Here is a 27,658-nt window from a genome sequence, read left to right on the forward strand (position 1 = left end):
GCACAGTGGCACAATCTCAGCTCACTGCAACCTCCGCCCCCCGGGTTCAAGCGATTCTCATGACTCAGCCTCTTGAGTAGCTGGGATTACAGGCATGTGCCACCACGCCCAGCTAATTTTTGCATTTTTGTACAGATGGGGTTTCACCATGTTGGCCAGGCTGGTCTCGAACTCCTGGCCTCAACTGATCTGCCTACCTCAGCCTCCCAAAGTGCTGGGATTACAGGCATAAGCCACCGTGCCTGGCCTGCCTGAGTCATTTTGAGGGACTGACCAGGGGTACAGCCATAGACACAGGTCCTTGTCACTCACTGACCAGCAAGGTCACTGCCTTTGCAGGAGATGACAGGGAAGAACCAGGAAGCACCTCCTCTCCCAGCCTGGGGCTTCCCACCATCTCCTGACACCTCCACCAGAAAAGCGACCTCATTTCTCAAAGACAAAACAGATTCTAGGTCATATCCCCCTGGAATGAGAGACCAATTGATGTGATTATCTCCAAGAGAAAGAGGGGCACCTACTAAAAGTAGAACCTGGTGTCCCAGAAGGGAAGACATCGGGGAACCTAAAAAGGGGTCTCTGATAATTACCTGCCAAGATTTCACAGCGAAGGGCATCTCCATGTAATGCCAAAAAAAAAAAAAAGAAAGAAAAGAAAAGAAAAAAGGCTAGAAGTTTTAGAAGGTGCTCCTTCTTCATCCATTCTGCAATTTCACTCGATTTCGCCCAAAAGCAGAATTCTGCTCCCTACATTGCATGAATCAGTATATAGAACAGGTGGCCCCAGCAAAGTTGCAAAAAGGAATTTCTATAAAGTGTTCTTTATTATAAAAATCAAGAGAGCTGCCAGGTGTGGTGGTTCATGCCTGTAATCCTAGCACTTTGGGAGGCCAAGCCGGGTGGATTGCCTGAGCTCAGGAGCTCGAGACCAACCTGGGCAACATGGAGAAACCCCATCTCTATTAAAATACAAAAAATTAGCTGGGCGTGGTGGTGGGCCCCTGTAGTCCCAGCTACTCAGCAGGCTGAGGCAGGAGAATTGCTTGAACCCAGGAGGAGGAGGTTGCAGTGAGCCAAGATCACACCACTGCACTCCAGCGTGAGCAACAGAGCAAGACTCTGTCTCTAAAAAAATTAATAATGCATAAATAAAATAAATAAAAATCAGAGAGCTAATTTCACAAAGAAATATAACTCCCTATTGGCCTGAGTTAGAAGTATTTGGGCTTCAGTATATTGGGAGAAGGGAAATATGTATAGTTGTGTATATGCATGCACACATACACACACACACACAGAGGCATGGTGGGGGAATGAATGTGGAAATGGTTAGAGTGAAATCAAGATCAAGTTCAGAATAAGTATCTCTGGATAGTAAAACAAAAAATAAGGCTGGCCATGGTGGCTTGTGGCCATAATCCCAGCACTTTGAGAGGGTGAGGCAGGAGGATGGCTTGAAGCCAGGAGTTCAAGACCCAGACTGGGCAACATAGCAAGACCTCACCTCTACAAAAAAAAAAAAAAGTCAATTGTGATGGCATGCACCTGTAGTTCCAGCTATTCAGGAGGCTGAAGCAAGAGATCTCTTGAGACCAGGAGTTGGAGGCTTTAGTGAGCCAAGATTGTGCCACTTCATTTCAGCCTGGGTGACAGAGTGAGACTCTGTCTCCAGAAAAAAAAAAAAGATTCTTATTCATTTCATTATGTTTCCCATATTTTATACATTTTATACAAGGTGCATACCTTGCTTTCATAGCTTATTTGTTAGTTTAAGAGAGGTATTTAGGCTTGGAGAGTACTGAAAAATTTTCCTAGTCCTCGGTCTTGTGTACATAATGTTTCTGTAGATTTTTTGAACATCACTGTTTCTGTTCAGACACACGCAGGTGAATCACTTGGAAAATGAGAGCTAATCCCAGCCCAGCAATGAATGGTTCCTTCCAGACAGGCCAGGCACAGTTGCTCACATCTGAAACCCCAGAGCTTTGGTAGGCCAAGGCGGGAGGATTGTTTGAGTCCAGGAGTTTGAGACTAGCCTGGGCAACATAGCAAGATCGTGTCTCTACAAAAACATTTTTAAATTAGCCAGGCATGGTAGCACATGCCCATAGGGCCAGCTACCCAGGAGGCTGAGGCAGGAGGATTGTTTAAGCCCAGGAGTTCAAAGTTGCAGTGAGCCATGATGGTACCACTGTACTCTACTCTGGGTGACAAAGCAAGACCCTGTCTCAAAAAAAAAAAAAAAAAAGCAGGGCACGGTGGCGGTCAGGAGTTCACGAATAGCCTGGCCAACAATGGTGAACAAATTGTTCTACTAAAAATACAAAAAATTAGCTGGGCGTGGTGGTGGGCATCTGTAATCCCAGCTACTCAGAAGGCTGAGGCAGGAGAATCACTTGAACCTGGGAGGCGTAGGTTGCAGTGAACCGAGATCGCGCCACTGCACTCCAGCCTGGGCAACAAGAGTGAAACTCCTTCTCACAAAAACAAAAAAACAAAAAAACCAGATAACTCACCTGTTCTTCAAATACATATCAGGCTAGAGAAGTGTCCAAAATGGGTCATCAAAGCCAGGAGCTAGCAGTGAGTTTTTGGAAGTTGATATAGAGAATGGAAACTGGGATTGGGAGATGGAAATGAGAAGTTGGTCTGATTAAGCAATGGTCTGCACCAATTTCAATGCTTAGATAATAGTATCATATACTAGCAGCGTGTTGGTGTCAGCGTGTTAAACTAATAAAAAGCCAGAATGTAACAGCCTGCATAGCCCTAATGCATTTCACCAGAGAGCCATGTGGAAGCCAAAATCCTCACATGCAGATCTGGCATGAGGAAGCTTCCTAAGCGTCTCTCAGGTAGCTTGGTACAAGTTCTGCCCAACAGAGGTGCTTCATACACCAGGCAGCAAGCCTACCCAAATGAGATCCCCTGGTTGGGAAGGTGGACGTACTTCATGAACAAAGCAAAGGTAGATGGTTGTGTGCAGGTCATCTCACATGAGGTGTCTCCCTGGTTCTTTGTGAAACCCTCTCTGGACCTCTTCTGGTTTTGAAATAGCTCATTCATGGATTCATTCTATTAATAAAAGTCAAAAGTAAACACTTACATAATGCTTACTAGGTGTCAGCCATGGTGCTAAGCACTTCATTCATATTAACTCATTGTCTCCATGCCACAATCCTATTACCTGAGTTGACAGATGGGGCAACGCAGGCACAGAGATGTTAAGTGAATTGCTCGAGATCACGTAGACAGCAAGTGGCAGAATCATAATTTGAATCCTAGTTCATCTGGATCCAGAATACAGACCATAATATCCTCCTGATGCTCATGAAAATTTGTTGAACCAGATACCACTGGTCCCAGCAGCAAATGACTGTGCTAACCCCATATTCCCAAGCCTCCATCGCCAAAGGTTATCTGGCCCCATTTCTTGCTAGTGGCCCTAAAGAACATAACGGCGGGTCTCCAGGATGGCTGGCGTGGGAGTCGCTGGTTGCCCATCTTATTCCCCCCACCCCCCATTACTGAATGATCCCTTGATTACAAACCCAGGGTCATTCATTCTTTCTTGACTGTCGCACCTCTCATTCACTCAATACGAAAATATTTGGACAGGCACGGTGGCTCATGCCTGTAATCCCAGCACCTTTGTAGGCCGAGGCAGGAGAATTACTTAAGGCCAGGAGACCAAGACCAGCCAGGGAAAGATAGCAAGACCCTGTCTCTACAAAAAAAAAAAAAGAAAAAGAAAAGAAAAGAAAATTTAAAAATAAGCTATGCATGGTGGCACATGCCCGTAGTCCTAGATACTTAGGAGGCTGAGAGTGAGAGGATCCCTTGAGTCCAGGAGGTTGAGGCTGCAGTGAGCCATGATCGTGCTACTGCACTCCAGCCTGGGTGACAGAGTGTGATCCTGTCTGAAAAAATAAAATAAAATAAAAATAAAACATGTATTGATTCTTCCACTTACGTATTCCTCTAATAAGTACGTATTGAGTGCTTGCCATGAGCCACTATCTGTGCTGGGTGCTCGGTAGTGGAATACAATGGTAAATAGGAGAGGCGAGGTCAATGCCCTCATGAAGCTCACAAGTGAAAAACAAATGTCCATCATTGGTCAGATGGATAAACAAAGTTATGGTATATAAATGCAATGGAATATGATTCAGCCATGAAAAGGACAGAAGCACTGATCCGTGCTACAACATGGACAAATCTGGAAAACACGATGCTGAGTGAGAGAAACCAGATACAAAAGGCCACATAGTGTGAGACTCCATTGACATGAAATGTCCAGAACAGGCAAATCTACAGAGACAGGGAGCAGATGAGTGGTTACCAGGAGCTGAGGGGACAGGGGAATGAGAGTGAGCGCTCGTGGGGATGAGGTTTTATTTGGGGATTGGTGAAGTGTTCTAGAATTCGATACAAGTGGTGATTGCACCACACTGTGAAGGTGTTAATGCCTCTGAATTGTGCACCTTAAAATCATTCATTGTATTTATGAAAATTTCATCTCACAAAAAAAAATCAAGTAAGATGATCATAGCATGTGATTGATTCCATCCGTTTCTTTATCCTATGTGTATTAAGGACCCACTATGTGCTATGAACTATACAGACACTGAGGATACAAGACTAGCATGCTTCCTGTTCTAGAGGCTCTTAGAGTCAATCATCAGAGAAATGCCAATTAAAATCACAATGAGAGGCCGGGCACGGTGGCTCATACCTGTGGTCCCAGCACTTTGTGGGGGCGAGACGGGTGGATCATCTGAGGTCAGGACTTTGAGACCAGCCTGGCTAACATGGTGAAACCCCATTTCTACTAAAAATACAAAAATTAGCCGGGTGTGGTGACACGCACCTGTAATCCCAGCTACCCGGGAGGCTGAGGCAGAAGAATCGCTTGAACCCAGGAAGCAGAGGTTGCAGTGAGTCGAGATCATGCCACTGCACTCCAGCTTGGGAAACAAGATCAAAAGTCTGCCCCCCCCCCAAAAAAAAACCAACCACACACACACAATGAGTCTGGGTGCAGTGGCTCAGGCTTATAATCTCACCATTTTGGGAGGCTGAGGTGGGAGGACTGCTTGAGCCCAGGAGTCTGAGACCAGCCTGGGCAATGTTAGCAAGACTCTGTCTTTACACAAAATTTAAAAATTAGCCAAGTGTGGTGGCGTGCGCCTATAGTCCTCGCTTTTTGGGAGACTGAGGCAGAAGGATGGCTTGATATCAGGAGTTGGAGGCTGCAGTGAACCATGATCCCCCCACTGCACTCCAGCCTGGGCCACAAAGTGGGGCTCAGTCTCTTTAGAAAAAGAGAGATATATATATACAGAATATCTATTATTTTAAAAGTAAAAAGAAAAAAAAACAGAGGTTGGCAAGGATGCAGAGAAAAGGGAAAGCTTATACACTGTTGGTGGGGATGCAAATTAGTACAACCTCTAGGGAAACAGATGGCAATTTCTCAAAGAACTAAAAATAGAACTGCCCTTTGATCCAGCAATCCCACTGCTGAGTATATACCTAAAGGAAGAGAAATCATTATATTAAAAAGACATCCACACTTACATGTTTATGGCAGCACTATTCACTATAGCAAAGTTATGGAATCAACTTATGTGTCCATTAGCAGATGATTGGATGTTAAAATATGGTATACAAGCTGGGTGCGGTGATTTCCCCCTGTAATCTCAGCATTTTGGGAGGTCAAGGAAGTCGAATTGCTTGAGTCCAAGAGTTTGAAACCAACCTGGGTAACATGGCAAAAACCCCACCTCCACTAAAAAAACAAAAATAATTCGCGTTTTTTTTTTTTTTACAGGCAGGCACCTGTAATTTCAGCTATTCAGGAGGCCAAGGTGATGGAATCAGCTGAGCCTGGGAGGCAGAGGTTGCAGTGAGCCGAGATCATGCCACTGCACTTCAGCCTGGGAAATTGGAGTGAGATCTTGTCTCAAATATATAAACATATATATATAAAATATACATATATGCTATCTACACAGATCACATAGATATGCTATCTAGATAGCATATATATATCGGATACAAATGCCCTATAAATAGCATATCTATCATATATCTAGATAGCATATATATATCACATAGATATGCTATCTAGACAGCATATATATAGCATATCTATACCAAATACATATGCCCTATATATAGCATATCTATCACATAGATATGCTATCTAAATAGCATATATATCACATAGATATCTATATATCTATAAATATCATATATATGCTCTCTAGATAACATATATATCACATAGATATCCTATCTACATGGCACATATATATAGCATATATGTCACATGTATGTGCTCTATATATAGCAGATATATATCACATATATATGCCGTGGAATACTTAGCCATAAAAAACAGTGAAATCTTGTCTTCTGCAGCAACATGGAGGGAACTAGAGGCCATTATCTTAAGTGAAATGACCGAGAAATAGAAAGTCAAAAAAACTCATGTTCTCACTTCTAAGTGGAAGCTAAACCATGGGTACACATGGACAAACAGAGTGGAAAACAGACATTGGAGGCTCCCGTAGGTAGGAGGGTGAGAAGGGGGTGAGGGATACAGTACTACCTATTGGCTACAATGTACACTATTTGGGTGATGATTGCACTAAAAGCCTAGTCTTCACCACTAGAAAATATATCCATGTAGCAAAACTGCACTTGTATCCCAAATCCATAAAAATAAATTTTTTTTAAAGGCTCTTAATTCTTCTAGGGCAGGTGAGAGATGCCCAAAAGTTAAAAAGTAAACCAATAAATGAATAAGATAATTTCAGATAGCGGTGAGTGCTATGAAGACACGAAAGAAAATGTAAGACTAAGCCAGGCGTGGTGGCTCACGCCTGTAATGCCAGCACTTTGGGAGGCCGAGGCAGGAGAATCACGAGGTCAGGAGTTCGAGACCAGCCTGGCCAACATGGCGAAACCCCGTCTCTACTAAAAAAAAAAAATGCAAAAAATTAGCTGGGCATGGTGGTGGGCGCCTGTAAGCCCAGCTACTCAGGAGACTGAGGCAGGAGAATCTCTTGAACCCGAGAGGTGAAGATTGCAGTGAGCCCAGCTCGCACCACTGCACTCCAGCCCAGACGACAGTGCAAGACTCTATGAAAAAAAAAAAAAAGAAAGAAAGAAAAAAGAAAGAGAGAGAGAGAAAAGAAAAGAAAAGAAAACGTAAGACTAAAAAAGCTACTTTTGGGTAGTCAAGGACACCAAGAACCCAGCCAGCAAAAATCTGAAGACTGCAAAGTGGCCAGCCATGGGAGTATTCTACCTGTGGGAACAGCAAGTCCCAAGCTTCCAAGTGTGAAGGCGCTTCGGACACCCTGAAGCTGAAAGAAGGGCCATGTGCTGGAAGGTAACGGCGAGAGGAATGCCTGGTGAGAAGCCTGGCCCTTCTTCCATGCTTACCGACATGCGACAGAGTGTGACCTGGACAGCTGGAAGCGCTTAGGACATCCTAAAGCTGGAAGAAGGGCCATGTTGCTGGAAGCAACGGCGAGAAGGATGCTAGATGGGCTCTTTCTCAAGGAGTCAGGATGCCAGTGCACTTAGGCCAAGTTCCAAAGCAAAGACTCCATCCTACTCCTCCCCCCACCTCTGGAATTCCACCTCCCTTGTTGCGCCCATCGCTATGGTGACGGGCGCTCTCAGTACACTGTCTCTACAGGCCAGGAAAGAGTTGTGTGTCTTTGGGGTCCCTTCCGCTCCGCCTAGGGTTCCCGGCCAGGCCGAGAGACCAAGCAGGGACCATGCGCGTGTTGGTACCCCCGGCTGAGCGCAGCCAGGACACACGCGTTGGGGCCCCAGCATGGCGCGAGGCAGCTCAGGCCATGGCGAGGACCGCGCACATTCTGACCGATCGCTGCGGGCAGGAGGCGGTGACCATGTGGCAGCCCAAGGACAGCGTGCTGGACCCGAACGTGGCCCACCACCTCGGCCGCGCCGCCTACATCCAGCCCTGGCGCTTCCGCGTGGAGATGATCAAAGGCGGCGGCACCTTGGAGAAGCCGCCGCCAGGCGAGGGCGTCACGCTGTGGAAGGGCAAGATGAAGCCGCCCGCCTGGTACGCCCGCCTGCCGCTACCCTTGCACCGCAAAGCGCGCGCCCTGCAGACCACCGAGGTGGTGCACGCGCACGCGCGTGGAGCGCGCCTCACCGCCGCCCGCCTCGGCCGCGCGCAGCACCAGATTAACGGGCGGGTGCGACAGCTGCTGCGCCAGCGCGAGGTCACCGACCACAGGCTCAGCGAAGTGCGCAAGGGTCTGCTTATTAACCAGCAGAGCGTCAAGCTGCGGGGCTACAGGCCCAAGTCTGAGAAGGTGGGACCCTCCCCCACGCCCAACCCCAGCCTAACTGCAAAGACTGAGGCCTCCGCTATGCGGTGTCCAGCCCCGGGGAAATCCTTTCCATACTTTGGGAGGCCAAGGCTGGTTGATCACCTGAGGTCAGGAATTCGAGACCAGCCTGACCAACATGGTGAAACCCCCGTCTCTACTAAAAATACAAAATTAGCCGGGCCTGGTGGCGCATGCCTGTAATCTCAGCTACTTGGGAGGCTGAGGCAGGAGAATCACTTGAACCCGGGAGGCAGAGGTTGCAGTGAGCCGAGATCGTGCCATTGCACTCCAGCCTGGGCAACAAGAGCAAAACTCCATCTCAAAAAAAAAAAAAAAAAATATTTCCATAGAGAGAACACCCAACTCCGGTGAATAAGGGCACAAGAAGATGAGGGCCAGATGCAGTAGCTCACGCCTGTAATCCCAGCACTTTGGGAGGCCTTGGTGTGAGGACCGCTTGAGTCCAGGCCTTCCAGGTTGCAGTGAACTATGATGGCACCACTGTGTTCCAGCCTGGGTGACAGGTGAGAACCTGTCTCTACCAAAAATTTTAAAAAGTTAGCTGGGTGTGTTGGTGCACACCTGTAATCCCAGCATTTTGGGATGCCGATGCGGGAGGATTGCTTGAGGCCAGGAGTTGGAGACCAGCCTGAGCAACATAGTGAGACCCCGTCTCTACAAAAAAAAAAAAATTTTTAGTGGCCCAGCATGGTGGCATGCACTTATGGTCCCAGCTACTTGGAGGCTGAGGCAGGAGGATTGCTTAAGCCCAAGAGTTTGAGGCTGCAGTAAGCTATAATCAGGCCAACCGCAAACCAGCATGGGCAACACAGTGAGATCCCATCTCTCCAAAAATTGCAGGTAAATTAGCCAAGTTTGGTAGTTTGTGCTTGTAATCCCAGCACTTCAGGACACCAAGGCAGGAGGATTGCTTGAGGCCAGGAGTTTGAGGCCAGCCTGGACAACACAGCAAGACCCTCTCTGCACCAAAGTTTAAAAAAAATAGTCAGGCATGGTGGTGCATGCCTCTAGTCCCAGCTACTTAGGAGGCTGAAGCAGGATTGTTTGAGCTCAGGAGTTCAAGGCTGTAGTGAAATATGATAGGGCCACTACACTTCAGCCTAGGAGATAGTGAGACTCAAAAACAAACAAACAAAAAAAGATGATGGATACAGGCCCAGGAAGAGATGCCTAAGCCCCCAAGACCCAAAGAGTGAGCCCTGCCCAAGGAGATGAGATCCTCAGCTTCCCTGCCCCAGAGGAGAAAATTATCCAAATCTCCCAGCCAGGGAGAGAGGGTGCAGCCCCTGATTCAGACTCCTTGAAAATCTCCCCAAAAAGTAAAACCCACAGCCCTCAGCCCAGGCATAAAATCATCCACCTAGACCCTAGGCCCAGAGGGTAAGACCCTTCCATAGATGTGAGACCCTCAGTGCCCCAGTCCTAGTGAAAACACACTCCCAACTCCCAGCTGAGGAGAGCGGCTGATACCCTTGTCCCAACCCAGGTGAAACTCCCCCCCAGAATGTTAAATAAAACCCAATTCCCCTGGCTTCAGGAAGTGAAAATCTCCACCCCCAGGCCTCGTCTGTGGTGAAAGGAAGAAGTCCTCCCTACAGAGAGAGACTTCAGACTCCCAACCCTCACACCCAAAGGTTAAGCTCCCATCCAGGGAGAAAGAGTAAGACTTCTAGTACCAGTCCTGGTGAAATCTTCCCCTTAAAGTGAAATCTCAAATCCCCACCCCAAAAGGTACAAAAATTCCTGCCTCCCGGGGGAGAGATGAGACCCCACCCACAGAATGGGATTCCTACCCTCAGCCCCCAGATCCAAATATTAAGACTCCAAAAACGTAAACCCTCATCATCCGTATGATATGATCCCTCCACCTGTAGCCAGGGAGAGGAGATAAGACCATCACTGAGGAAGGGGTGCCCAGCTCCCAGCCTCAGGGGGTGAGAACAACCCTCCCCCAAGTTGAGACACCTTCATCTCAGCCCCCTGGGCTCCTATCTGTAAAAGAGAGACGCCCCCAACCTCAAGCTCCAGAGAGCAAGACCCGCCAAGTCAGAGAGCCCACTGAAAAGATCAAACCTTCTCAAAGAGTGAGACACCCCACCCAAAGGATGAGAGTACCCTCAACTTCATCCTTCAAACTCAGAGTTTATGAGGCTGGCAAACCCTCTACCACCCTGGAAAGAGGAATCTCTTCCCAGCCCTTTCTTAACGATGTGAGGGATTCTCTCCTCGTTTTCTAGGTCCCTGACAAAGCTGACAGTATGCTTACATGGGAGAAAGAGGAGCTGAAAAGCATGAAGAGGAAAATGGAGAGAGATATGGAAAAATCAGAGGTCCTACTCAAGGTTAGGGGTGCCTGTGGACAAGTTACGGGGGCTGGAGGGGGATCCCTGGCTGCCTAATGGACAAACCACTCTGACCTGGGGACTGTCACAATAGCAATTCCTTCAAGCCACACTGACCAGATATTCACTGCATTTTGCTTTGTGAAATGGAAAAAGGGAGGTCATGGGAGATGACGTTGGGTCTCAGAATAACAACGAACAACCACTCTGTACCAAACCCTGCGCAGTCATTGAATCCACTCCTTAAGGCTGTCCTGTGAGGCAGAAACTATGATTTCCTCAATAGAGATGGGAAAATTGAGACCCAGAGAGAGACCTCACCTAATAAGCAAAGCCATCAGTGAAAGCGCTGTGGTTTCAGCCCAAGTGACTAGAGTCTAGCTCTTTGCACTCTAACACGTGCTCCAGCTTCAGCCAGACTTGATCTCTCGCTGCATCCTTCGCACTTGCAATGAGAACTTCTTCATGAGGGCACAAATTAAGGGGGAAGAGCAGCCAGACTTCAGGGGGCCTTTTGGACCTGTTAAGGTTCGCTGGAAATTTGTGTGCTTTCGACTCATCCTTTTGATAAATACTAATCTGGTACCTGCTTCCCAGGCACCAGGCTTGGCATCATAGATAAAGTGGTGACTGAGAAAGAACTAGCCTTGTCCTTGAAGAGTTAACATTCTAAAGGCATTCAAAGAAAATACAGGCTGGGAACTTGTTTTATTTCCTATTGTGAGATTGAAGTCTTTTATTGTTGTTGAACTTTCCTTGCTTTTATGTATAGATCTCCTCAGCTAGACTACATTTAAAAAAGCATTGGACCTTGAAGGCAGATATAGTACTAAATTATATTTCACGTAGCAAAGCTCAGTAAGGTTGTGTTGACTGGGGAGTGGGGAGGAGGGGAGAAGAAGGGACAGGCTGGGGGACGAGGGTGTGGACGAGGCAGGAGACTCAGTGGGGGGGCGGGGGGCGGGGGCTGCTGAAACGCTGTCCGTGGTGCTGAATCGGAATACTGCATATCTTCTGGCCGCTGTCATATTCCTTTAAATCTGATGATTCCTGAAATATCCTTCCAGGAAGTCGGAGGCAGAGAAGGGAGAAGCCCCTGAGGATGGACGTGGGAGCAAAGGGCTATAAAGAGGGAAATGGATCATGCCCATAATCTCAGTACTTTGGGAGGCCAAGGCAGGAGGATTGCTTCTTGAGGCCAGAAGTTCAAGACCAGTCTGAGCAACATAGCAAGCCCTCATCTATATTTTAAAATAAAATAAAACTAGCCAGGCACAGTTGCAAGTGCCTGCAGTCCCTATTCAGGAGGCTGAGGGAGGAGGATTGCTTGAATCCAGGAGTTCAAGGCTGCAGTGAGCCATGATCATACCTCTGCGCTCCAGTCTGGGTAACAGAGGAAGACCCTGTCTCTGTGAGAGTGAGAGAGAGAGGTGGGAAAGGACAGATATAGATAGAAACAGAGACAGGCTGCTTGGCAGGACCTAGTCTGAATATTGCTGGAGAAAAATACTTACCACCAATCAGATTTGTTTCAACTTAAAATCATGAAGTCAAACCTCAAATTGGCACTCAAACCTTTCCCAGATACCTCGCCTTAAGTCTCTAGAAGACTTGCTGACCTGCTGGGCAAGTGATTTCATAACTTCTCTTCCTTTAGTCCTCTCCAGCTCCCTGTGCCTTCCTTGCTCTACGGTGATTTCAATGAAAACCACCAAAGGGAACCTCTCTCATTTTTCCTCTGTCAATCCTATAATTCCACCCTTCCACCCTTCTCCTGCACCATCAACATTTCCTTCTCTCTTGGCTCATTGTCACCAGTGAACAAAGGGAGAATTATTCTTTCATGGGTACAGATCTGTTGGGATGATGAAAAATTCTGGAGGTGGATTGCAATCCAGCCTGGAAGACAGAGCAAGATTCTATATAAATGAATGAAGGAAGGAGGGAAGGAACAGAACAGGTAAAATTAATCTCCAAGTCAGCTTACTGGAGATGATGGTTGTACGAATACACTTAATGCCACTAAACTGTACACTTAGCAAGGTTAAAATAGAAACATGTTATGTCATATCTATTTTACTACAATAAAAAGCCCACCTCTCTTGATCTACATGCCCCTCTAGATACCCATTTCTCTAGTCCACTGCATCTTATCTGCATATGTCAACTTGCTCATGTTGACTCCAGGCAGGCTCCTCAGCTAAACTGCATTTGAATAAGCATTGGACCTTGAAGGCAGATACAGTACTAAATTATATTTCATGTAGCAAAACTCAGTAAGGATGTGTTGACTGGGGGGTGGGGAGGAGGGGAGAAGAAGGGACAGGCTGAGGGTCGAGGGTGTGGACGAGGTAGGAGACTCAGGGACTGGTGGAACGCTGTCCGTGGTGCTGAACTGGACAGCTGTCCTTTTTTTTTTTTTTTTTTTTTTTTGAGTTGGCTCTATTGCCCAGGCTGGAGTGCAGTGGCGTGGCGTGATCGCAGCTCACTGCAACCTCTGCCTTCCGAGTTCAAGCAATTCTCCGACCTCAGCCTCCCGAGTAGCTGGGATTACAGGTGCCTGCCAGCACACCCGGCTAATTTTTGTATTTTTAGTAGAGACGTGGTTTCACCATGTGCGCCAGGCTGGTCTCAAACTCCTGACCTCGTGACCACCTGCCTCGGCCTCCCAAAGTGCTAGGATTACAGGCATGAGCCACTGCGCCCGGCCTGGACTGCTGTCTTGCTGGTCACTGTATCCCCACCACCTGGCACATCGCCTGGCATCAGTAGGGGTTTAATTAATATTTGAATTCATGAACAAAAGACTTTTTAAGTCTGCTTTTTAACCAAATGAATAAATCCCAAAGATACCATATTCAGAGAAAGAAGCTGGACATAAAGTGTACACTCTGTAGGATTCCATTTATATGAAGTTTTAGATTCAGCAAGGGTTTTCCTCAAGGTACAGTTAGTAAATGCTTTCAGCCTTGTGTGCTGTGCAGTTTCTGTCACAACTACTCAACTTGGCCAGTGTGCCATGGAAACAACGAGAAATGATATGCATATGAATGGGCATGACTGTGTTTCAATAAAATTTTACTTACAAAAACAGGTCTGCCATCCATAGGATGGAAATTTATCAACTCCTTAACAACAGGCAAAACTCGGCTGGGTGCAGCGGCTCACATCTGTTATCCCAGCACTTTGGGAGGCCCAAGCAGGAGAGTTGCTTGAGGCCAGGAGTTTGAGGCCAGGAATTTGAGGCCAGCTTGCACAGCATAGCAAGATATCATCTCTACAAAAATGTTTAAAAATAACTGGGCATGGTTAGCATGCACCTGTAGTCCTAGCTATTTAGGAGGCTGAGCTGAGAGGATCTCTTGAGCCCAGGAGTTTGAGGCCACAGTGAGCCAGGATCATGCCACTGCAATCCAGCCTGGGAGACAGAGCAAGATTCTGTAAATGAATGAAGGAAGGAAGGACTAAAACAGGTAAAACTAGTCTCCAAGTCAGCTTACTAGAGGGGGTCAGGGAGGGACAGAGGAAAGGGGAGCCAGAGAAATGTATGGCATGATGGAAATATTTTATATCTTGATGGAGAGTGTTTATAAGGGTGTATATATGTGCAAATGACTTGTTTTGATATAACTCTCAAATAATTGCAAATATCAAAGGAATATGATATGCTTCATTTTATTGTGGAGGAAGTAAGATTTCGATGGCGGGATGCTGTCCAGATGAGACACAGCCTGGTGGGAGGGGGGAACTCAGAGAATAGCAGTCTCTTAATATTGATCAGAGCAGAGGAAGGGAGACTTCAAGGCTAGAGGTGGGGATGGGATGAGTGCCAGTTGAGAATCAAGGGGGTGACACAGGAAGATCAAGATGTGGGTATAGTGAGTGCCAGCTCTCCATGTTACAGTGGGGAAATGCATGAGACAGGCTCTTTTCTCAGGGTGCCAGAACAGAGCCAGGCACAGAAACCAAGCAATTGACACCCAGCACAGGGAAGCTGTTGCTGTCTCTTACTGCTCCCCTCACCCCACCCCCAAAGAGTCACTGAAGGCTTCTGAACTGGGTAAGGAGGCAGGAGATGTCTGAGCTTCAACTTAGGAATTGCTTCTTCCCAAGAACACAAACAAGAGCTGGAAAGGGGCCGGGTGTGGTGGCTCACACCTGTAATTCCAATACTTTGGGAGGCTGAGGCAGGAGGATCACTTGAGCCCAGGAGTTCAACACTAGCCTGAGCAACATAGCATCACTCTGTCTCAAAATAAAAGAACAGGAAAGGGTCAAGAATGGAGTGAGGAAGGAAACCAATTTCTCAGAACCAATCCATATCCCAGCACTTTGGGAGGCTGAGGCGGGTGGATCACCTGAGGTCAGAAGTTTCAGACCAGCCTGGCCAACATAGCAAAATCCTGTCTCTACTAAAAAATACAAAAATTAGCTAGGTGTGATGGCACATGCCTGTAATCCTAGCTACTCATGAGGCTGAAGCAGGAGAATCCTTTGAACCCGGGAGGCAGAGGTTTCAGTGAGCCAAGATCGCACCATTGCATGATCTGTCTGGAAGTGAGCAGACTCACTTTTACCTGATTATTATGCACAGTACCATAAACAGAAGACAACTTTGTGAATAAAAAAGTGATTTTAAGACATTTCTCTAGCTGGGCACAGCAGCTCGCGCCTGTAATTCCAGCATTTTGAGAGCCCAAGGTGGGTGGATTGCTTGAGCCCAGGAGTTTGAGACAAGCCTGGACAACATAGTAAGACCGCGTCCCTACAAAAATTAAAAAAAAATAATTAGCCAGTGTGGTGGCATGTGTCTGGTGTCCCAGCTACTTGGGAGGCTGAGGTGGGAGGATCGCTTGAGCACAGGATGTCCAGGCTGCTGTGAGCTGTGATCATGCCACTGCACTCCAGCCTGGGAGACTGAGTGAGACCCTATCTCAAAATATGTATATATATATAACTTCCCTGGATTACCTGACATCCAAGTGAACACCCATCACCTGGGAAAAATGTAAGCAGAATTGCCTGACCCTTGACTCTTATTTCCACGTTCCCATACCTTAACACACCTTCCCTTCTCTAAAAGCCACGTTTGCAGGAATATCTATTCAGCACCACCAACTCATCCATGTGTTTATCTGTAATGGCTATTGAGGAAACTGTACTGTTCATGGTTGTTTTTGTTTTTGTTTTGAGACAGGATCTCACTCTGTTGCCCAGGCTACAGTGCAGTGGTGCAATCATGGCTCACTGCAGCCTCAACCTCCTGGGCTCAGGTGACCCCCCCACCTCAGCCTCCTGAGTAGCTGGAATTACAGACGTGAATCATCACACCTTGCTAATTTTTTGCTTTTTTGTAGAGATGGAGTTTCACCATGTGGCCCAGGCTGGTCTTGAACTCCTAGGCTCAAGCGATCCTCCCATCTTGGCCTCCCAAAGTGCTGGAATTACAGGCATGAGCCACCACACCCAGCCTGAATGCAGTGATTTTTTCACAGTGTGTTTATAGGTCAAAACATCAAGTTGTACACTTTAAATAAATACAATTTTTATTTATCAATTATACCTCAATAAAGCTGGGAAAATTAAGTGGAAAAGAATACGTTTTAAATGAACTTACTACAAAAAAATGATAAGTATGTGAGACGATGGATATGTTAATTAGTTTGATAACATCCTTCCACATTGCATACACAAATCAAAGCATCACATTGCATGCCATAAATATATACAATTATTATTTTTCAATTAAAAACAAAAATTTAAGTAAAATAATAAAGTAAACCTTGAGGGGTGGTGTGATGTGAGTCAAAGGAGGAAAAAGAATCATTTTTTCATAAGATGTAGACATGTCTCTCCTAAAAAAGATTTTGTGAAAGAAAATATTTATCTGGAACATTGGGGAAATAAGTTAAATCAAAAAATATTTCCAGGCCAGGCACAGTGGCTCATGCCTGCAATCCTAAAACTTTGGGAGGCTGAGGCAGGAAGATTGCTTGAGCCTAGGAGTTTGAGACCAGCCTAGGCAACATAGTGAGACCCTGTCTTTACAAAAAAATAAATAAATAATACAAATTAGCTGTCTCAGGAGGCTGAGGCAAGAGGATCGCTTGAGCCCAGGAGGTTGAGGCTGCAGTGAGTTACGATTCCACCACTGCACTACAACCTGTGCAACATGTGTCTCAAAACAAAAAAAAATAATATATATATACCCATAAGTAAAAACCTTTACCAGTATCAAAAAAAAAAAAAAATTAGGCACACTGCCTCACACCTGTAATTCCAACACTTTGGAAGGTCAAAGGAGGAGGATAGCTTGAAGCCAGGAGTTCAAGACCAGCCTAGACAACATAGTCAGACCCCTTCTTCACAAAAAGTTTTAAAAATAGCAAGGCATGGTGCTTTACTCCTGTAGTCCCAGCTACTCAGGAGGCTTAGGCAGGAGGATTACTTGAGCCCAGGATGTTGAGGCTCTAGAGAGCTATGGTGGCACCACTGCACTCCAGCCTGGATGACAGAGCAAGATTTTGTCTCAAAAAAAAAAAAAAATGAGAGTGTCAGTTTCCGTTTAGAGGTAGAAATGCTTTACAGCCTATAAGGCTCAAGCCTGCAGCAGAGAAATCACTTGCATCCACTTCCCTCAACCTCCCAGTTCTCACTCTGTCTTCTCCTCCCCTCCCCACCCAGACCCTGGCCTCCTGCCGAGACACTCTGAACTTCTGCTTCAAGGAGCGGCTCCAAGCCGTGGACCTCATGAACCAGCCTCTGGACAAGGTTCTGGAGCAGGCCAGACGCCACTCATGGGTGAACCTCTCCCGAGCCCCCACTCCACGCACACAGGGTCAGAAAACGCCTCCTCCAGACCCTGTGGGCACCTATAACCCAGGTAGGAGTCCACTGTACTGGGTCGTATTGGTGCCCACCCAGATCCCCTTGACTGTCAGTGCAGCCCGTCGCCCACTTAGCTGTCCCTTTCCTGGGAAATAGCCCTAGAGTCAATGGGAGGACTGAAAGCCTATCATGCTGAGCACACATTGTCACTCAGCTTTTCCCCCTGCACTCTCCTGCCCACACTCGCTGAGGACTCAGTCATTCACAGGCTCTGCTTTTTTTTTTTTTCCTTTGAGATGGAGTCTTGCTCTGTCACCCAGGCTGGAGTGCAATGGCCTGATCTCAGCTCACTGCAACCTCCGCCTCCCAGGTTCAAGTGATTCTCCTGCCTCGGCCTCCTGAGCAGCTGGGATTACAGGCGCCCACCACCACGCCCGGCTAATTTTTGTATTTTTAGTAGAGGCGGGTGTTTCACCATGTTGGCCAGGCTGGTCTCGAACTCCTGACCTCAGGTGATCCACCCGCCTCAGCCTCCCAAAGTGCTGGGATTACAGGTTACAGGCTCTGCTTCTAAGGAAACCAACCCAAGACGCTTCTTACACTATCCCCCGCGCCCCCTGGACTTTCACCCAGTTCCTCAATAAAACCCCCTCGCCCAGGGCCCACCACCACCTGAGAATAGAGAGAGGGACAGGGGCTCTGGGAACGGAGGACTTGGCACCCCCACGCGCATCCTGGGCATTTGCAGCGTGCGCCTTGGCGCTAAACGAAGCCAAGCGGTTGTTGGTCGAGTCCAAGGACACCTTGGTAGAAATGGCAAAGAACGAGGTGGACGTCCGGGAGCAACAGCTGCAGATAAGCGACCGTGTGTGTGCCTCGCTGGCGCAGAAGGCGAGCGAGACCTTGGAGCTGAAGGTGAGCGCATTACCTGCGGCTGCGGGCCAGGGTGGGACAGGGGAGGAGACGCGGACTGGGAGCCAGCGTGATCCCCCTGCGCTTCCCTGCCCCCAGGAAAGATTAAATATGACGTTAGGACTGATGAGGGGAACTATCCTCCGGTGTACGAAATATAACCAAGAGTTGTACACCACCCACGGTCTCATCAAGGTACGGTTCGGGGTGAGAGCCTTCGGGGGTGGAGGCAGGGGTGCCGGTGGCTGGAGGCTGGGTTTCAATGCGCTTGCACACCGCACCCCACCAGGGTCCTCTGTCGAAAGTTCACCTGGAGACCGCAGAAAAGCTGGACAGACCCCTGGTTCGCATGTACCAGAGACACGTGGGCACCCAACTCCCGGAGGCTGCGCGCCTCGCACAGGTAAACCCCCTCCCCCGTACCCCTCTAGGCCCAGCCCCGCCAATGGTAAGGCTCCTTCCTCAAGCACATCTGGACCAGGTATGATCCCCCTCTCACCCAAGTCGGCCTGTCCTTCAACTCCTGCCACGAAGTGGGGAGGCGGGGGCTTCACTGGGTACTGAAGTGGGTACTGGCGGGGGCTTCAGTGGGTACTGGCTCAAATAAGTCCCCTCAACCCCTGTCCTCCCCCCTCACACACACCCTCACTGTCCAGCTCTGGCCTTAGTCTCTCTAACCTGTAAAATGAGGAGCACGTCAGCACCCACTTCAAATGGTGGTGGTGAGGACAGATGAGTTCATGCATGAAAGGTGTGTAGCATGGCACCTGCATAGAATACCCTTAAAGCTGCCCAGCTGTTATTATTAACTATTATTGTTATTATTATTTGAGACAGACTCTCGCTCTGTCGCCCAGGCTGGAGTGCAGTGGTGCAATCTTGGCTCACTGCAACCTTCACCTCCCGGGTTCAAGCGATTCTCCTGCCTCAGCCTCCTGAGTAGCTGGGATTACAGGTGCGCGCCACCACACCCGGCTAATTTTTGTATTTTTAGTAGAGACAGAGTTCTGCTATGTTGGCCAGGCTAGTCTTGAACTCCTGACCTCAGGTGATCCGCCCGCCTCGGCCTCCCAAAGTGCTGGGATTACAGGTGTGAGCCACCGCGTCCGGCCCTGAGCTGTTATTATTAAGTACCCTTCCTAAGGAGGATCCTTCCTACACATCTTGACTAGATGCATTCCCCTCCCTCAGCCTGCCCTGTCGCGGTTTTTTTTTTTTCCAGGCACACCTGGCCCATTCAGATGTGTTCCCCTCCTCAGCTGTGTTCCTTACACACACACCTGGCGCAGGTGTGCCTTCCCACGCCAGGTAGCCATCTGCTCTGGCTCACGGGTCTGCCCTGCTCCCTATCCAGGGCACCGACAAGCTGCAGTGCCACATCACGTACCTGGAAAAGAACCTGGACGAGCTGCTCGCCACGCACAAGAACCTCAGCTGGGGCCTCAACTGCAAGAACATCGGGCATGAGGTGGACGGCAACGTGGTGCGCCTGCGCCTGCGCCAGCGGCAACCGCACGTGTGCTACGAGCAGGCGCAGCGCCTGGTTAAGGACTGGGACCCGCGCACGCCGCCGCCGCGCAGCAAGAGCAGCGCGGACCCCTAGTGACCCCAGCGTCCCCCGCCCCAGCCAGCTGATTGGATGCTGGCTGGGACCTCGGAGAGCAGACACAGCCCCATGGCCCTCCCTCTCCCCTGACGCACCCTCCCTCCAAGCACCCTCTAGGAGAATTATAATTAAAAATAACAATAATTATCATGTATTAGGCACCTACTGTATGTCAACCACTTACCCTAGGACACGTTATAAGCGCATATCCTGGTAGTTAATAGGATGGATTTGGGTGCCAGATGGCTGGGATTTAAATTCCAGCTTCCCAGTTTCAAGCTGTGTGGCCTTGGACAAGTCACTGTCCCTCTCTGGCCTTGGTCTCTCCAACCTGTAAAATGAGGAGCATGACAGCACCCACTTCAAATGGTGGTTGTAGGCGGGGCGCGGTGGCTCACGCCTGTAATCCCGGCACTTTGGGAGGCGGAAGCAGGCGGATCACCTGAGGTCAGGAGTTCGAGACCAGCCTGGCCAACATGATGAAACCCTGTCTCTACTAAAAATACAAAAATTAGCTGGGCCTGGTGGTGCGCACCTGTAATCCCAGCTACTAGGGAGGCTGAGACAGGAGAATCGCTTGAACCCAGGAGGCGGAGGTTGCAGTGAGCTGAGATCAAGCCACTGCACTCCAGCCTGGGTGACAAGAGCGAGACTCCGCCTCAAAAAAAAAAAATTGGTGGCTGTGAGGACAGATGAGTTCATGCATGAAAGCCCTATAGTATGGTGGCTGCATAGTATATCCTCAAGGCACCTGAGCTGTTATTATTGGCATCTCCATTTTACAGTTGAGGAAACAGGCACAGAGAGGCTGTGCAGCTTGCCCAGGGTCACACAGGAAGTAGCAAAACTGGAATTTTCATTCCAGACTCAAGAGCCTGCACTCTAAGTGGAACTTCTAGGAGCTCTGCTCTGTCCTACCCCATGTGGTGTCTGGTCCTGAGCCCAGCACTGAGAATAAAGCAGTGAGCAGGGCTGATGTGGTCCCCACTCTCAGGGAGGTCACAGGTTGATCCAGTGCAGCTAATGTCATCCATTTGGGTGTGGCTCTGGTTCAGGTCCTTCTGCTTTTCCAGTAGGCTCTTGGACACCCCGCCATCACAGGACCCCTCACACTGAGCTGTGATTCTTATCTGCTCTTCCCAGGAAGATCCAGGGTGTTGCACACATACAGAAAGAATGTGCATTACAGCCACAGGTATCTCCTAAGCAACTGCTCTGTGTCAGAGGCTGTGTGAGGCGCCAGGGATACAGCAAGGATGTGTCCCTCCGTCGTGGAGCTCACAGTGTATATGCTGAGAATGGCCTTCACAAATGTTGGTATCCTTTTGGCAAAGCCAGCCAATTGTATGGACCTAAGCACCAACGTTTAGCAGAGAAGAAAATGAAGCTCATTTTTCTTCTCATTTTCCCAGGGTTACACAGCCAGAGATGGGTAAAGCAAGATTTCAACCTGTCATGCTCCACATCTCAAGCAGGGACCAGGATCTGAATGAGTCCCCAAAACAAGAGAATGGAGATTGGGTCAATTATGGCCACTGGACAGAAAAACGCATGGGCAAAAAAGAGAGCCATCTGCCCAGGATGACAGACCTGGGTAGGAGTTCAGCTGGGGATCGGCTCCATTGGTCTGACTCAGAAGCATTGTGTGTCACAGCCAGCTCCCTTATGTCAAGACAGACTCTACAGCTTGGGGGTTACAGGCCCCCAGTCTCCCTGGGGCTCAGACTCCCACATAAACTATTCTTCTTCAAGCACTTCTTCCCAGTACCAATCAGGATATCAACAAGAAACAGCACACTCCATTTGCAAGAAGTTTAAGGGCCAGGTGCGGTGGCTCACACCTGTAATCCCAGTACTTAGGGAGGCCGAGGCAGGCGGATCATTTGAGGTCAGACGTTCAAGACCAGCCTGGCCAACATGGTGAAACTCTACCTCTACTAAAAATACAAAAATTAGCCAGGCATGGTGGCGGGAGCCTGTAGTCCCAGCTACTTAGGAAGGCTGAGGCAGGAGAATCGCTTGAATCCCAGAGGTGGAGGTTGTAGTGAGCTGAGATCGCCCCACTGCACTCCAGCCTGGGTGACAGAGTGAGACTCTGTCTCAAAAAAAAAAAAAAAAAAAAGAGAGAGAGAGAGAAAGAAGTTTAAGAGACCACAGTTGATCCTCATTATCCCCAAATTTACTTGCTAATTCACTTACCGAAATTTATTTGTCACTTCAAAATCAGTACTTGTAGTGCTTTCACAATCATTTGCAGGCATGCACAGAGCCGTGAAAACATTTTTAGCCACCTGATGTTCACACTGCCCCTCTGAGGGCAAAGAAGGTGATGCTGCCTTTTTGTGCCAGCTCTCTTACCATAAACAAGTGTCCTTGTGGTAGCCTATTTAGCATCTCTGTCTCTCTCTCTCTTTTTTTTTTTTTTTTTTTTTTGCATTTTTGTGCATTTTGTTGGTGGTTTTTGCTGTTTAAAATGACTTCCAGGGGTTAGTGCTGAAGTGCTGTCTACTGTCCCTGAGCACAAGAAGGCTGAAATGTGTCTTAGGGGAAAAATACATGCGTTAGATAAGCTTCATTCAGGCATGCATTATAGTGCTGTGGCCGTGACCTCCATGTGCATGAATGCATCACATATATTAAATAAGGTGTCTTTTTTTTTTTTTTTGAGACAGAGTCTCACTCTTTTTGCCCAGGCTGGAGTGCAGTGGTGCAATTTTGGCTCATTGCAACCTCCGCCTCCTGTGTTCAAACGATTCTCCTGCCTCAGCTTCCCAAGTAGCTGGAATTACATACACACACCGCCACACCCAGCTGATTTTTGTATTTTTAGTAGAGACAGGGTTTCACTATGTTGGCCAGGCTGCTCTCGAACTTCCGACCTCAAGTTAACTTCCAACCACCCGCCTCGGCCTCCCAAAGTGCTGGGATTACAGGCATGAGCCACCGCACCCGGCCAAATAAGGTCTCTTTAAATAGAAACACCTAAAACAAGGTTATGTCTTGATTCGTTGACAAAAGGGCTGTGACCACAGGCTCACAGAAACCTAATCCTGTATTTCCCCATGAGCCATGGTTCAGCGTTCACTGATTCAGTGTGCGTGGTGGCTTTATGGACCATTACCGCAAATAACAGGAATTAACTGTGTTTGCAAAGGTGTGGGCAGCTAGTAGGGAAACCTCAAAGGATAGCTAGCATAATATCCACATGCCAGTGATTGCGGGGAGCCTTTTCCACCTGTGGGTCTGAAGGGAAAGGGCTGTTAGCAGATGGGAGCATGTAACTCTGTGATGCTGCAGTGTAGACGCCGTGAAATGCCCCTACCCACCTCTCTGTCCATTGGCCAGTGTCCCCGATGGGCCGAACCACCCTGCTGACTTTTGACCTTCACGCAGGTCCTTCCCGGAGCTGGGAATTATCCCTTTACCCTCACCTTTGCCCATCTTGATGCCCAGAAATCTTGCATAGGAGGCAAATGCTCCCCTTGCAAGCAATGTCTTGCCCTGGGGTTTGCAGCCTGCCACCCTCACCTTGCTGTCACCGCCCCAGTTTGTGACCTCAGCTCACACAATGTCCCCAAACAGCATTTGCACAATTCCCCCCATTGCCTCAGAGCTGAGATTTCAGCTGCTGCCCTAGATGTGAGTCCTGTGCACCCAGCAAGCTTCTCCACGACACCATGAGGTGGGTGTCATTATCCCAACCTTAGAGATGAAGAAATAGGCCCAAAGCAGTACAAAATGTATAGATGCCACCACCCAGCAAGTAAGGGGCTAAGTGTGGGCTGTAAAAATTGTAGGCAGGGCAGGCGCGGTGGCTCATGCCTGTAATCCCAGCACTTTGGGAGGCCAAGGCTGGCAGATCATTTGAGGTCAGGAGTTCAAGACCAGCCTGGCCAGCATGGTGAAACCCTGTCTTTACTTTAAAAAATGCAAAAATTAGCTGCACATGTTGGCACATGCCTGTAGTCCCAACTACTCAGCAGGCTGAGGCGGGCTTGAACCCAGGAGGCAGAGGTTGCAGTGAGCTGAGATCACACCACTGCACTCCAGCATGGCCAACAGAGCAAGACTCCATCTCAAAAAAAAAAAAACTGTAGGGAGTCCCCTTACCCCCCAAAAGTCCTCCTGGCTGGACACAGTGGCTCACACCTGTAATCTCAGCACTTTGGGAGGCTGACTTAGAAGGATTGCTTGAGCCCAGAAGGTTGAGACAAGCCTGGGAAACACGGTGAGACCCTCATCTCTACAAAAAAAGTTTACAAAATTAGTTGGGCATAGTGGCCCATGCCTATAGTCCCAGCTACTTGGGAGGCTGAGGCAAGAGGATTGCTTGAGCCCAGGAGTCTGAGGCTGCAGTGAGCTGTGATCACACCACTGCACTCCAGCCTGGGTGACAAAGCAAGATTCTATCTAAAAAAAAAAAAAAAAGTCCTCCCATACCCCTCAAACAATGATCAGGTATCACCTGCATGAGAACACCTACGTGCACCAGGTTCCAGGGTCACACTCCAGACCTACGGAATCAGAATCTCAGAAGGCAAAGCACAAAAATCCGCATTGCTCATGAGCTTTCTAGGAGGGTCCAATGCACACCAATGCTTGAAATGCATTGCCTGCTGTTGCTGGTTTCCCAGGGCTGACTTCTGCATTGGGCATAGTAAACACTAATGAGAGAGCCCACAAAAAATATTTTTATTGTAATTTCTTTCTTTTTTTTTGAGACAGAGTCTTGCTCTGTCGCCCAGGCTGGAGTGCAGCAGTGCAATCTCAGCTCATTGCAACCTCCGCCTCCCAGGTTCAAGCGATTCTCCTGCCTCAGCCTCCCAAGTAACTGGGATTACAGGCAGCCGTCACCACACCCAGCTAATTTTTGTATTTAGTAGAGACGGGGTTTCACCATGTTGATCAGGCTGGTCTCAAACTCCTGACTTCAGGTGATCTGCCCACCTTGGCCTCTCAAAGTGCTGGGATTACAGGTGTGAGCCACTGTGCCCGACCTGTAGTTTCTTTTTAAATCAGAAGAAAAATATGAATATAATAATAAATATATGACATACTGCATTGTATGTTATTTATGTGATACACAATTTATATTCATCTCTATACTAATGTAGGGGTGTTTTTCACATTTTGGGAGTTTTGGGGGGTTTTTGAGACAGGGTCTCACTCTGACACCCAGACTGGAGTGCAGTGGCATAATCATAGCTCACTGCAGCTTCAAACTCCTGAGCTCAAGTGAGCCTCCTGTCTCGGCCTCCTGAGTAGCTGGGACGACAGGTGCATGCCCCCATATCTGGCTAATTTTTGTATTTTTTTGGAGCGATGGGGTCTTTCTCTGTTGCCCAGGCTGGTCTCGAACTCCTGGCTTCAAGTGATCCTCCCACGTTGGCCTCCCAGAGTGCTGAGATTAGAAGCGTGAGCCACTGCACCTTGCCTTTTCAGCATTTTTTTCATTGTGGTAAACTACACACAACAAAATTTACCCTCTTAACCATTTTTAAGTGTTCAGTTCAGCAGCATTAAGTACCCTCACAGTATTGTGCAACCTTCACCACCATCCATCTCCAGAACTCTTTAAATCTTGCAAAACAGAAAGTCTATACCCTTTAAATAATAACCGCTCCTTTCCTCCTCCGCATCCCCCAGCCCCTGTCAACCACTGATACCATAGATACCACTTTCTGTATATGACTTTGACTGTTCTAGGTACCTCATATAAGCTACATCAATAAAGTTTTACGTATTTATTTTTTGATGGAAGAAGGAACTCACAAAGGTAAATGTGCCTCAGGCCCATAAAACCCAAAATTTGGCCCTACAACTTCCCCTTAAAATATTGGGCACATTCCTCTCATTCATGTATTTATTTTACTTATTTAATTTATTTATTTTTTATTTTTTGAGACAGATTTTCACTCTTGTTGCCCAGGCTGGAGTGCAATGGCACGATCTCCACTCACTGCAACCTCTGCCTCCTGGGTTCAAGCGATTCTCCTGCCTCAGCCTCCAGAATAGCTGGGATTACAGGCATGCGCCACCACACCCAGCTAATTTTTGTGTTTTTGTTAGAGACGGGGTTTCGCCGTGTTGGCCAGGCTGGTCTCGAACTCCTGACATCAGGTGATCCGCCTGCCTAGGCCTCCCAAAGTGCTGGAATTACAGGTGTGAGCCACTGTTCCAGGCCGACATTGGGTAAATATTTAAGTGAATACATGAACAAATAAACAGATAAAGTTTGCAGAGTGTTACTGTGTGCATTGCCTTATTTAATTTTCCACTTTAGACCTGGAAAGTTCCCTTCGTAATCATCCAGTTCACCATGCTTTGCTGTCTTCCTTATTCTCTTTCCAATTTTCCTGGAAAGTGAGAAACTGACATGGGAAGCAAGCAGCACAGCATCCGCTGTGGGAGAGATGCAGACCTGGGCTTGACCCTTTAGAGCTGTGTTACCTCGGGCAACTTGCTCAACCTCTCTGACCCTCTGTTTTCGTGACCTATAAAACTGTGGATGGGCGGGGCACGGTGGCTCAGTGAGCCTGTAATCCCAACACTTTGGGAGGCCGAGGCAGGTGGATCACCTGAGGTCAGGAGTTTGAGACCAGCCTGACTAATGTAGTGAAACCCCATCTCTACTAAAAATACAAAAGTAGCCAGATGTGGTGGCGGGCACCTGTAATCTCAGCTACTCAGGAGGCTGAGGCAGGAGGATAGTTTGAACCTGGGAGGTGGAGGTTGCAGTGAGTGGAGATTGCACCACTGCACTCGAGCCTGGGCGACAGAGCTAGACTCCGTCTCAAAAAAAATAAATAAATAAGATAAAATAAAAAAATAAATAAAACTGGATGATAAAGGTATCTCTCTCATCAAGTTGCTGGGAGGATCCGTTAAGGCAATGGGGTTTTTGCATAGTATTCCATGGTGTATATGTGCCACATTTTCTTAATCCAGTCTATCATTGTTGGACATGCGTTGGCTGGGTTGGTTCCAAGTCTTTGCTATTGTGAATACTGCTGCAATAAACATACATGTGCATATGTCTTTATAGCAGCATGATTTATAATCCTTTACATGGATGAAGCTGGAAACCATTATTCTCAGCAAACTATCGCAAGGACAAAGAACCAAACACCACATGTTCTCACTCATAGGTGGGAATTGAACAATGAGAACACATGGACACAGGAAGGGGAACATCACACACCGGGGCCTGTTGTGGGGTGAGGGGAGGGGGGAGGGATAGCATTTGGAGATATACCTAATGTTAAATGACGAGTTACTGGGTGCAGCACACCAACATGGCCCATGTATACATATGTAACTAACCTGCACGTTGTGCACATGTACCCTAAAACTTAAAATATAATAAAAAAAAGACAATGGGGTTTTTCATTTAGTTCAGGGCCTGGCATGGGGGGAGGTCTCCACACATGGTTTATGCTCCTTTTGTTTATCAAAATGACATTCACATAAAATGAGCCATCTTAAAGTTAGTGGCATTTGGTAAATTCACAATTGTTGTGCAACCAACGCCTCTATCTAGTTCCAAGGTATTTACATCCCCCCAA

The 27,658-nt window shown here is 47.9% G+C and overlaps 2 protein-coding genes across 2 annotated transcripts in view, besides 2 other annotated features; one reads left to right on the top strand and one right to left on the bottom strand.

The window, feature by feature from the left end:
* SLC1A6 (solute carrier family 1 member 6) overlaps positions 1–7,614 on the bottom strand; it is a 60,611-nt gene extending 52,997 nt beyond the window's left edge. The window contains exon 1 of the transcript NR_073589.2: positions 7,456–7,614. The gene's annotated coding sequence lies outside the window, so the exon portion shown is untranslated. The remainder of the gene's footprint in view (positions 1–7,455) is intronic.
* An 82-nt stretch (positions 7,615–7,696) lies between these two features.
* On the top strand, positions 7,697–20,247 carry TEKTL1 (tektin like 1). The gene is made up of 7 exons (NM_173482.3): positions 7,697–8,366; positions 10,643–10,747; positions 17,432–17,630; positions 18,324–18,490; positions 18,587–18,682; positions 18,777–18,890; positions 19,842–20,247. The coding sequence occupies exons 1-7, from the start codon at positions 7,797–7,799 to the stop codon at positions 20,088–20,090; spliced, it is 1,500 nt and encodes a 499-aa protein (NP_775753.2). The 5' UTR covers positions 7,697–7,796; the 3' UTR covers positions 20,091–20,247.
* Positions 12,908–13,202: a silencer, noted in NCBI's record as "tiled region #13248; HepG2 Repressive non-DNase unmatched - State 10:DNaseD, and K562 Repressive DNase matched - State 10:DNaseD". NCBI's record gives its function as "represses a minimal TATA promoter and a strong SV40 promoter by Sharpr-MPRA in HepG2 and K562 cells {active_cell/tissue: HepG2 | K562}" and the evidence as "EXISTENCE:reporter gene assay evidence [ECO:0000049][PMID:27701403]".
* Positions 22,340–22,409: a silencer, noted in NCBI's record as "silent region_10264". NCBI's record gives its function as "represses an Ori minimal core promoter by ATAC-STARR-seq in GM12878 lymphoblastoid cells {active_cell/tissue: GM12878}" and the evidence as "EXISTENCE:reporter gene assay evidence [ECO:0000049][PMID:35858748]".

The sequence above is a fragment of the Homo sapiens genome, chromosome 19, assembly GCF_000001405.40.
Source record: "Homo sapiens chromosome 19, GRCh38.p14 Primary Assembly".
In the NCBI taxonomy this organism is placed as follows: domain Eukaryota; kingdom Metazoa; phylum Chordata; class Mammalia; order Primates; family Hominidae; genus Homo; species Homo sapiens.

What these genes read in the sequence shown, in the direction of transcription:
- TEKTL1 (NM_173482.3), top strand. Translation starts at nt 7,797, where the DNA reads ATGCGCGTGTTGGTACCCCCGGCTGAGCGCAGCCAGGACACACGCGTT. An exon ending in GCGAGACCTTGGAGCTGAAG is followed by an intron (nt 18,491 to 18,586) that starts GTGAGCGCATTA and finishes CCCTGCCCCCAG; the next exon opens with GAAAGATTAAATATGACGTT. An exon ending in CCACCCACGGTCTCATCAAG is followed by an intron (nt 18,683 to 18,776) that starts GTACGGTTCGGG and finishes GCACCCCACCAG; the next exon opens with GGTCCTCTGTCGAAAGTTCA.